The following is a 12,442-nucleotide window of genomic DNA, read 5'->3' as shown; positions in this document are numbered from 1 at the left end:
GTAAAGTGTTTATTATTTTTAAAATTCCACTCTTGAGCTCATGCCTTCTTTAGATGACAGGTGAAATCTTTCCCTAACACTAGGAAAAATTGGAAAAAAATGGGAAACATGAGGCTTTATTCTGTACCAGGCCCTGTCTTTCTTTTGGAGCCATTTCAGGTTATAAATATGCATTCTTCATATGTAATTTTTTTCCATTGGCTGTAGGGTTCCAGTGGCCTTTCAGAGAGCGGAGAAAACTGTCCACAATTGGTATTTCTCCAAGTGTAAGAGGAATTTGGCCTACAAATGATTCCAACGCAGTTCATGTTTTCAAAGAACTCGGACAAGTAGATGCGTTCTTAAAACAGATGCTGATGAACAGACACCAAAATTGAGTAGTCCTGTTTTATATCTTACTGAGATTTTTGTAATTAAAACATATACACAAATTCTTTACAACTAAGAACAGAAAGCCATCATAAGGCTGGCTTTGGCCGCTGTTGTTGTCTTTCTTGATGTCTTGCAGGCTACTTAAATTTGGTCTCATTTATTTAACTGTTCTTAGACCTCAGAGTTTAACAGACTGTGTGACTCTCCCTTTGTCTGGATCTTAAGAGGAGGGGTGTGGCTCCCATGCCAGCTCCCTCTCCCACACCCCATCACACTCTGCTCAATGCTTCCTGGCATTGAGCTATCAGAACATGCATCATTGGTCTGTTCCATTCTCTCACTTGCTCTGCCCTTTCTTCCTCATTTAAAGCTCTGTTCTTTTCTCTTCTAACCTCTCTGAATTCATGCCCCAGGCAAGAAAAAAAAAAAAACTACAGAAATACAAGCACAGAGTTACCAAATTATTTAGAGTATTAACATTGTTTTCTGAGCTTTATGTCCTATTCCTGATGTTTGCAATGGGTCCTATGGAAAATTAGTTGATGTACTTCATTTTATTCATATGCAAAGTGGGGATCACAAAGGTGCCCTTTGTCTTAAAAGATCACAGTGATATGTTACAACCCCATGTTCCCAAAGAGCTGTATTGCTTACACTTGATGCGTGATCTGAGCTGGTGCACACTGAACTAAGGAGCAGCACAGGGTAAGGAAGCCACGCCTGACTGTGGTGCCCAGTGCCCTAATGAGATTTCCCACAATGGACACACATCCTACATTTTGTTTTATTTAACTTTAATTGAAAGCTTAGGAAACGCTTCATGCTTCATAAATGTTCTGTTATTTTCAGATCAATCTACTCTACTGGAAAACTTAATAAACAAATAGATAATGGTCCTGCTGAGTTGTTCAACATTTCTTATTCACATCTCACCAGCTTCATGCCCTGCTCCCAGATCCTCATCTCTCATTCTGTTGTGGTTGTTCATTTTTTTAAACACGAATTTTCAGAAAAGATAAGCTCTGCAGCAAAAAGGGTGATAAAGACCAGAGCAAACCCTTTCTGAACCACTTTGCATTTGACTAGTTTTTGAGTTGTGTGTTAATATTCCATGTTAACACATTTTTTGCAAAATAAATAAATAATCAGAACAGAATTATTTTCTTCTTCATTCAGTTTTTTTTTTAAGAGAGCAGAAAAGTGTTCTTGGAAATATCTGCCTCCAGGCATGTATGTGATGTGTCATTCTGGCTTGTTATATTCATCTCCTAATGGCCCCATGTAGGTGGCATGTGAGCTGTGACTAATAAAAGGCAAACTTCCAGGTATCTCAGGATTTTGCCATGGTGCTGTCTTTGCCTTGATGCTTCTACATAGCTCACTTGGAAAAGTTTAAAACTTAATAAAATGAAATAGATTAAATACAGTCACATGTCACATAGTGATGCTTTGGTAAAGAATAGACCCCATATATGACGGTGGTCCCATAAGATTATAATACCATATTTTTACCATATATTTTCTATGTTTAAATATGTTTAGATTCACAAACATTTACCACTGTGTTAATTGCATAATGTATTGCCTAATACAATTGCCTGCTGTATTCAGTACAGTAACATGCTCTGCAGGTTTGTAGCCTAGGAGCAATAGGCTATACCATATAGCCTAGGTATAGGCTAGGTTTGCATAAGTACTGTCTAGGTTTGCATAAGTACACTCTGATGTTCACACAATGATGAAATCTTCTAAAGACATATTTCTCCATCCCCGTTGTTAAGTGACACATTACTGTGCATAAAATAGACCAACCAGTGATAAGAGTGACTGTAGAGTTGGAGAGCCCAAATAAATTCTGCTCTTTTTTCAACTAGAATAATGAGAAAACCCAGCTATTTTCTCAATCTCAAAGCCCCTGGATGGGAAAATTCATGGGCAGGATAGAGAGGGAAATAATTATTCCTTTGGCATGGGAATTTTATTTTATTTAGTATTTATTAAATATGAAGGACTCAAAACAGTGCCTGGCACCTAATAAACACTAAAAAGTAATGATAATAAAGTATATATTCCATGTGTTTAGGACAGAAGTGGCCCATCCCAGCCATTTGTTAAATAATACTTAATTTTCTAAGATGAATAAATGGATAGTTTTATTTTCTATGAGTCCCCAGAAAAGTGGTAGACAATTTTCAGTGTTGTACCTACCCCTGCACATCAATTCTCTTGAGCCCCATTCTTCAGAGATTCACTAATATAGTGCTAGCCAGTCAGAACCATATTCAAATCACTGAAAGATGCTAGGGATTCAGGATGAGGAGATCCATGCCTCAGTGGCCTACTGCAAATATAAGGGCTTCCAAGTCTTTTGTATAAACCAGAACCAGCATCATATTCCTCAGAGCTCCTTGTCTGAATTCCATACTTACCCTAAATGGCTATACTTTGACATTTTCAACAAGACATGAGTAAGAAACATTTCAAGGGCAGAAAAAGGAGAAATAAATGGGAAATGCAAAGACCAATAGAGAATACTTACTTCTTGTGTTGGTTAAGGACCAAAGTCATTTCTGTGCACCTGATGTTTGTCTGATGGTTGCTTATTTAATCCATACTGTATTCCTCATGCTGCTAATAAAGACATACCCAAGACTGGGTAATTTATAAAGGAAGGAGGTTTAAATGAGTCACAGTTTAGCTGGCTGCGAGGCCTCAGGAAACTTACAATCATGTCAGAAGAGGAAGCAAACACATCCTTTTTCACATGGTGGCAGGAAAACGTGCAGAATGAAGGTGGGGTAAGAGCCCCTTATAAAACCATCATATCTCACGAGAACTCACTCACTATCATGAGAACATCATGGAGGTAACTGCCCCCACGATTCAGTTGCCTCCCACCAGGTCCCCGCAACGACATGTAGGGATAATAACTACATTTCAAGATGAGATTTGGGTGGGGATACAGCCAAACCATATTACATACAATTTTAAGAACTGAGATCATAAATTATTTCAGAGAAACCAGAATACATAGCATGCTGTCTAAATTGATAGGTGGGAAAACTTAGGTCAGAGGATTCTAAATATCAAAGAAAAAGTAGATGAAATTTTTAAAAGCAAAATTAGAAGTGGTTAGACCACAAAACATGCTGACAACGCAGACTGCCTTAGTTGCCTTTGATAGTTATCAATGAATGTCATAACTTTCACTCCTCCACTTTATACAGAAAAATGTTAGTATGATAACTCAACTGGGGAGACCTTACATAACAATATTAAGTCTGTGGCCGCATATACCATTAGCACGTTCAGCACTATGACTCACCTTGTTAAATGGCCCTTTATGTAGGCTATCATGGAAAAATACTAAAAAAAATGAGATCATTTTTGTGTGTTCTAGGGTGATTAGGGCTCTTATGAAGAAGGGTACTTCTTATAAGAAGTATCAAGTGGGCTAGGACACAGACTCACAGTTAGACAATTCCATAGTTCTTGACTTACATCTATTATCTGTTTCTGTGAATAAATGTAACCCCGTGAAACCCCATGAAAATATATGGGGTTAGACACAGGAACAGAAAACCAACATCACATTCTCTCACTCGTAAGTGGGAGTTGAACGAGAACACATGGACACAGGGAGGGGGACATCACACACCAGGGCCTGTTCAGGGGTGGGGAGCAAGGGGAGGGAGAGCATTAGGACAAATACCTAACACATCCGGAATTTAAAACCTAGATGACGGGTTGATGGGTGCAGCAAACCAACATGCCACATGTATACCTAAGTAACAAACCTGCACGTTCTGCACATGTATCCCAGAACTTAAAGTATAATTTAAAAATATATATATATATATATATACATGGGGTTAGGTTACACTTGTCTCTGCTGTATAATGCTGTCTCTATTATCTTTTTATATAAAAATGAGTAAATAGAGGAAAAATAAACAAAAGAAATGAATGTGATTATGCTTTTATTTGTACGTGTACTTTATATGTGACTTTGGTTTTTTCCTCCATAATAAAACTCCATTAGCCCATCTGAGATGTTTTGGGCAACAGGGTGCTAGATACACTTATTTTTACCAAAGTTTAAAATAACTGCAGCACCCATGGAAAAATGAAAAAGGAATTTTTGCTAGAGCCATGGGTAAGCGTATCTGCCTTTCTGAGAAACATAGTTCAAGCAAGTCTGACCAAGGACAATGAGAAAGGATAGAGGAGCAAAAGATGGAAAAGGGCATGCTGGGGAACCTGTAAATGTGCTTGACCTTAAATTAATGCTTAAGGTATGCATGAGGAAGGAGGAAGGTCAAAGATTGACTAAGCCTTGAGCAGATATGTTTGTTAGACACATGGCTATGTGTAGATGCTGTATCAGTATGTGACATCACAGAAAAGGAATAGAGAGGAAATGAAGGAGGAAGTGAACACAGCTCTGCCTTTACTTGTATTTCTGCACCAATTAAGTACAAAAGTGCTCTCGACCATGTATCAGCAGTCATGGTATGGATCTCACCAGGGAAAGATTTGCAATTTCTCACAAAAGCCAAGTAAGAAAGGTAGGCTTTGAGAAACTTACAGTAAATCTCCTCATTAATGAAAATCTGCTTTTAAGGTGATTTGCTTTGGTTCACAGCTTATTTTCAAGATCAGGATTAATATTAATTGTAAATTTATGGGAAGTGGAAATACTTAAGAAACAGCAGGTTCTCTGTGCATAGCTTTGTCTGTCCTCTGGGGATACATGCCTTGGAAGATGTGGCTTGCACGACAGGTTACATAACTGGTATGATTATGAACTGTGCATGCATTATTGATGTCTGGAACAGCTGCATGCTTGTAAAGGTTTGCATCTTGAAGTTGAGATAGAGTCCCCTGGGCATTATGAAGATTTGCATAGGGACTTCAATATAGTTCACGTCTTCATGTTCTCTGTAATCATAATAACAACTATATTAATAGTAAATACTTAGACACTTAATATATACAAGGCACAGTTTTATTCATTTAATCATCACAATAGCCCTATGAATTATATAATATTATTAATAATAATAATTTAGAAATGAGGAATGTGATCCACTGAAATGTTAAGAAATTTTCCAAGGTCATACAGCTAGGAAGTGCTGGAGGCACATTTTGAACTCAAACAGAGTGGTTCCAGAGTCTATTGATCAACCATGGGGCTAACCTGCCTGTGCACACATTCTAGAAATGGAATTACATAAATATTGGATGAATAGTGAGTTGTGTGTGTAAGTTACATCCATTAAAATAATACTTATCCAATATAGCATGTATGAGAGCTACATAAGAGATACCATATTTCCTCAATTTTAAGACACACATTTTCTTCATGAATTAATATTTCTGAAATTAAATTGCATCTTATCATTGATGATAAGAAAGTATCATGTTGTAATTCATTTGCTTCTATGTTTTTCTTTCTAAGTGACTCAAAATTATGATGTGTCTTACAATCAGTGGCCTCTCGTTGTCAATATAATAGAGAAAGTAATTTTTAATGCCTAAATACAGTAAACTAAAAAGTGGTATATGGTTGCAGATACAAGAATGTTGCTCGATGTGTATATGTTTGTTTTCTGCCTGAAGTTTGATATAACTGCACTGACTCAAAAAACACAGGATGCACTTTTCCTCTGGGAAAGCGTCCACTGATAGGGTAACAAATGTGGAGTTATATCATTAAGAAAATCAGAGTACAAAATGAGAAAGAAAGGAAAAATTAATATAGAATATGTGAAGAATAGAGAATTACATATGAAGTACAGAGAAGTAAATGAGTAGCAAAGGGATGACTATTTCATAAAGTGAAACAATGACTAAGAAAGCTTTGGAGTTAGAGTCAAGCTCACCTTGGTTAGAATTCCATCTCCATCCGTACTAAATACAACTGTATAAGTTGCCATGCTATACATAGACCCTATCCCGGAGGGAACATGCATCCTATTTTCTAAATTCAGGGGAGATGCATCAAAGCTCTGGAAGAAAACAGACATATATACATCTAGCAGTACTCTTTTCATTCATATGCACATGTTTCCTGACCTTTAGAAGCTTCACTTTCCTAACCCGAGATAAAGGAAAAATACATCCACCTTGTACGCATTTTTCTAAGAACAAATGAGAAATATTTGCAAAGTTCTTGGCAGTGTAAGAACTCATTAAATTATGTTGGTTATTATTTTTTGACAAATGGGCTGAATCAGAAATGTTGTATTCTGTACCCTGTGCCTTTAGGTTCAATTATTGTTTAATGGTATCTAACGTTTCACTGTATCCTGTTACTGGCAGCATTCCTGCAGCATTAATTATATACCATCCTGCCAGCATTTCTATGAGCAAAAAAAGCTTTTGACAAGAGGGCACTGGCTCCCTTTCTGGGCATTTAATTTTAAATGTTTTTATGTATATATTATTTATATGAATCAGAATTCATGAAATCTTTCATAGTAATTAAAATATAGATACATTCTCTTTAAAAATTTCAGATTATCAATCATATGTCTAGTCAGTAAATTCGGTGCAAAATAGTATTCAGATATTATCCTTATTTAAGGTTCAGCATCCATGTAATACTACCTACCATTGTCTAGAAACAAATCTGAAATACAAACTTGTCTAAAAATTTCAAAACTTTGTATCCCCAGTGGGCTTCGTTGAGACTCTCTGCACACTGATACCAAACCATTCCTATTATTGGAGTGAGAGGAGTGGGCTGTGGAGCTTAAGCATGTTTCTAATGTTAAGGATGAATCTGTATTTTAATCAGAGCAGAGTATGCATGATTCATATTTTTTAACTGAAGAAATCAAAGCTTGGAGTGATTAAATGATTTACTCGGTGACTACCTCTTCTGTGAGTGTTTTCTGTCACTTGTTAGATGCAGTTGCCCGATTTGGATAAGAAGATGACATGGAGAAGGGACTAAGTCATAGACTCATGAGATTGACTTCTAGTTCCTCATGTCTACTCTGTCTCCCCAAAAGGAAGAATAGGTGGGTTCATCAAATTCAGACAATATCATGAACTAAAGAGCATACTATTTGCTTTTTCAGGACTTACACTAGAATAAAAAACTGATGCCTTAGTTTTATTTATTATTTCTATTAGTACTCAGATTTAAACAAGATCTTAGAGATATAATGTCCAGCTTTTATCTTCTGAGTTTTGATGGCAGATGCTTAGATCTGGGAATATTTAAGCCTGAATGACTACTGCCAGGAATATTATAGGCAGATCATATCCTTGCTACAGTTGAAAATCAAGTAACTAGCCCTTTGCCTGCCATACAAAAGGTATGTAAAATATATATATATTTAATGACATTAATTTTCTAATTGAGTCAAATATGTTCTATTACATATAAAGTTTATTCAAAATCTAGTGTTCTTTATTAGATCAAAATCTAATCTGTATATACATAGGTTCTATAACAATTTTAAAATTCTGTATCTTTATCAAATTATTTTCTCATCTTCTCCTAGGAAACTGAATGGTATTAGTGAAAGAGGTCGTGATTGGGGTTATCGTAGCTGAATTCAAATACCAACCACACTGCTTTTGTGTTGTGCAACTTTGGGGAGATTATTAAGTTGACTGAGCTTTGAATCTAAGTTTGTAAAATGGAAATGATAATACCTATTTCCCAGAGCTATTATGAAGATTAAACAAATTTATAATATGGCATATAATAGGAACTCAACATATGCTACTTCCTATAATCTTCTCTCTAATCAGAAAATTTTAGGTTATCAGCCTTCTGCTTAAGCATAAACTGGACAAAGCTAGTTAGCGAAGAAGAATTTAAAAATAAAGAAAAGCAAAATTCTGTGCAACCATTCAATTAACTCTGCTGTATTATACTCTGAAATTGGTTCTTAAATCTTGTGTTACAGTACAATTTATGAAAGGCATATTAGCAGTATAGTAATATGCAATATATTATGCTGTTCATCATTTTTAAATTTTTTTATTTTTTATTTTTGTGGGTATATAGTAGGTGTATATATCTATGGAGTTGAGATATTCTGATACAGGTATACAATGCATAATAATCACATCAGAGTAAGTGAGGTATCCATCACTTCAATACTTGATCCTGTCTTTGTGTTAAAACAATCCAATTAAGCTCTTTTAGTTATTTTTAAATGTACAATAAATTATTGCTGACTGTAGTCACCATGTTGTACTATCAAACACTAGATCTTATTCATTCTATCTAACTATGTTTTTGTACCCATTAGCTATCCCCACGCCCCTACCCTACCCCCTACTACCTTACCCAGCCTCTGGTAACCATCATTCTACTTTCTATCTCCCTAAGTTTAATTGTTTTAAATTTTAGCTCCCATAAATAAGTGAGAACATGCAAAGGTTTTCTTTCCCTGGCTTATTTAACTTAACATAATGACCTCTAGTGTCATTCATGTTGTTGCAAATGACTGTATATTTTTCAAATAACCTGTCTTCAAGCTCACTAATTCTTTCTTCTGCTTGATCAAATCTGCTGGGAAGAGACTGATGCATTCTCTATTATGTCAGTTCCATTTCACAGCTCCAGAATTTCTGCTTGATTCTTTTTAATTATTTTCATCTCTTTGTTAATTTTATCTGATAGGATTCTGGATTCCTTCTCTGTGTTATTTTGAATTTCATTGAGTTCCTCAAAATGGCTATTTTGAATTCTCTATCCGAAAGGTCATATAACTCTGTCTCTCTGAGATTGGTCACTGGTGCCTTATTTAGTTTGTTTGGTGAGGTCATGTTTTACTGGATGGTCTTGATGCTTGTGGATGTCCATTAGTGTCTGGATATTGAAGAGTTAGGTATTTATTGTAGTCTTTGCAGTCTGGAGTTGTTTATACCCATCCATCTTGAGAAAGCTTTCCAGGTTTAAAGGGTCTTGGGTGTTGTGATCTAAGTTTCTGGTCACTGCAGCCCTATCTGCATTAGTGGGCATCTTAAGCCCAGTATCAGCTGTGGCTTTTGCAGACTCATAGGGGTATCACCTTAGTGGTCGTGGATTAGATCTGGAAGAACTCTCTGGATTACCAGGCAGAGATTCTCCTTCTCTTCCCTTACTTTCTCCCTAATAAATGGAGTCTCTCTCTCCTGCGCTGAGCTTCCTGAAGCTGGGAGAGGGGTAACACAAGCACCCCTATGGCCACTACCACTGGGACTGCACTAGGTCGGACCTGAAGCCAGCACAGCACTGGGTTTCACCAAAGGCCTGCAATAACCACTCCCTGGCTACTACCTGTGTTTGCTGAAAGTCCCCAGCCTCTACAATCAGCAGGTGGCAAAGCCAGCCAGCCCTGTGTCCTTCTCTTCAGGTTGGCAAGTTTTCTTAGGCCCTAGGCAGGTCCAGGGATGCCACCCGGGAGCAAGGTCCTGGAGTCAGAAACCTCTGGAATCTACCTAACACTGTTCTACAGTGTCTGAGTGGGCACACAATGTCACAAGACGAAATCCCTCCCACTCTTCCCTTCCCATTCCACAATAGGAGGAGCCTCTCGCCATGGCTACTACCACCCCAGGCCTGCAGCAAATACTGCCTGGCTGCTGCTGATGTTTATTCAAGGGCCAAGGGCTCTTCAGTCAGCCTATGGTAAATGCTGCCAGGCCTGGGACTGTCCTTTCAGGGCAGTGAGCTCGCCTTGGCCCAGAGTGGGTCCAGAAATGCTGTCCAGGAGCCTAGTCCTGAAATCAGGGACCCCCAAGAGCCTGCTGGGTGTTCTACCTTACTGTGGCCAAGCAGGTATCTAGGCTGCAAGAAAAGTTCCCTTTACACTGCACTATCCTTTTCTCAAGCATAAGGAGTCCCTCTTTATAGCTACCATAGCTGGGAAGATGCTGGGTCACACCTGAAGCCAGCACATCTCTGAGTCTTACCCAGGGCCCACAGCAAGTACTGACTGGCTATCGCTGCTGACTATTCAGGGACCAAGGGTTCGTTATTCAGTAGATAATAAATCCTGCCAAGACTGGGTCCTTCTCTTCAAGAGAGTGGGTTCCCTTTTGGCCCAGGGTGTGTCTGGAAATATTGTCTGGGACTTAGAGCCTGGAATGTGTGCCCCAGGATTCTGCCTGGTGCCCTATTTGTTATCCAAGTTGCAAAACCAGTCCTCTTTACTCTTCTTTCTCCTTTCCTCGAGTGCAAGGAAGGAGTCTCTATCAAAGCTGGGAGCTGCACTGCCTGGGGCTGGGGGAGAAGTGGCACAAGAACTTACTTGGCTGGCCTGGCTCATGTTTCCCTGGGTCGCATGCCCCTCAAGCCCACTGGCTCTGAGCCCGGCACAGCACCAGGGCTTGCCTAGGAATTGCAGCCCTTATGGCCTAGACTGCCTTTCAAGTTTATTTAGAACCTCAGAGCACTTTAGCCCTCAGTAAGTGAGGCTTGCTGGAACTCAGGTTACAACTGCTGGGATTGATGATTCCCCTTTGGCTAGGGCTGGTCTAAATGCTCCTGCCAGCTGAGTTCTGACTTGTACTGCTGTAGCAGAGCATCCCTGAGTTCCAATGCAAAGTCCCACAATCACTGTGCTGTCCCTTCCCCAAGCACACAGATTCTTTCTCTGTGCCAAGCACCTGCTGATGGGGAATGTGGGAGGGGATCAGTAACTCAAGACTGTCTTTCTTACCCTCTTAAGTGCCTCTTTCAGTGACATGAAGTTAAAACCAGATATTGTGATTCCTCACCTGATTTTTGGTTCCTATGAAGGTGCTTTTTTGTGGATAGTTGTTCAATTTGCTGTTCCTGCAGGGAGGATGATCAGTAGAGGCTTCTAGTTGGCCATCTTGCTCTCAGTTTTCTCTAAGTTGTTCATCTTTACAGCACTTTGACAGAAATTAACTCTTTTTCTGAGTGCAAAAGGTCAGTCACACAACCAATCAACAGAGAGGTCAAGTGATACTCCCATGAAATAGCTGGTTAAGAAACAGGTCTTTTAAAAGCTGATCTTATAAAATAAATAAATAAATAAATAAGCAAACAATACCCCCCCCAAAAATAACACTCTTGCTTGGAATTACAGATGCTAGTAAAGGAATAATTTTTGTTAACTAGCAGAGGTATTTACTTAAATCATTTCATTGTTATTAAAATTCTTTCTATAAAGTAAGTGGTTAGAGAGCTGCATTGTAACTAAAATAAACATTCCTGACTGGGGAGAATATCAGGAGATAAAACCATATTTACTATCTTCAAATGGAATGAATTTGAACAAAGAAAATACTGAATAGGAAGGAAAAAAACCCAGTAAAAGTGTTTTCTTCTATTTGGGATTCCTGAGAGACTATGTGCTCTAGAGATCAAAAGAACACAGTTACTACCAAAGATAGTCGTTGGCATATTTAGAGCAATACATAGTTTTTAAGGAGTTGCTTGCTACCTCCATTTAACAAAAAATAAAAAGCAGACCTATCATAAAACAAGACCCTAGAGTTGCCTACAGTTGGCCCCAACCCAGGCCTTCTGATTCCAGGTCTACAGCACTTTGCTCTACAACCCAGACCCTAATGTAAAATAAAATAAATTTTTTTTAAAAAAAAGAAGCCAACACTCATTCATTCAGTAGATTTTTCAGCAAATATTTAGGCTGTTCCTATGATATACCCTGTTTAGGTTGAGCAACATATGAGAAACATTTTATAGGGGGTCCCAACATGAAGGCCAGATTTATTATCAATCCATAATGATTACTTGCTGGCAAGGTCATTGGCTCAAAAAGATATAGAGTAAATTAGAAACAAAAAATTCTGTGTAGTAATTAATAATAAGCAAAATTAAAATTTAGAAAAATTACCTTTTTGCCTCTTTTCTTTAAATCTTGATATCTGTTGAATCTTTGTATTTGTTTATATCTTATGTTAAGTAGTTCAACCATTCATGTATGTATGACTTACATTATATAACATATATTATATGCATACATTCTATATATCTGCATGTATAAATAAATCATACTGGGAAATTTTATTTGGAGTCAAAATTGAATTTAAAATTTCAAGATATCACTAAGCAGTCCATGGGATTCATG

The 12,442-nt window shown here is 37.8% G+C and overlaps 2 long non-coding RNA genes across 2 annotated transcripts in view; one reads left to right on the top strand and one right to left on the bottom strand.

Annotated features, from left to right (window-relative positions):
• LOC124909415 (uncharacterized) overlaps positions 1 to 12,442 on the top strand; it is a 274,299-nt gene that overhangs the window by 29,329 nt on the left and 232,528 nt on the right. The gene's annotated exons all lie outside the window — the stretch shown is intronic.
• On the bottom strand, positions 5,188 to 9,748 carry LOC105374054 (uncharacterized). Its single transcript, XR_924358.3, has 3 exons — positions 9,661 to 9,748; positions 6,257 to 6,382; positions 5,188 to 5,312 (listed from the first exon to the last, which is right to left on the bottom strand). It is a non-coding gene; the product is annotated as an uncharacterized LOC105374054 (long non-coding RNA).

The sequence above is a fragment of the Homo sapiens genome, chromosome 3, assembly GCF_000001405.40.
Source record: "Homo sapiens chromosome 3, GRCh38.p14 Primary Assembly".
In the NCBI taxonomy this organism is placed as follows: domain Eukaryota; kingdom Metazoa; phylum Chordata; class Mammalia; order Primates; family Hominidae; genus Homo; species Homo sapiens.
This window is presented reverse-complemented; position numbering and strand designations above follow the sequence as displayed.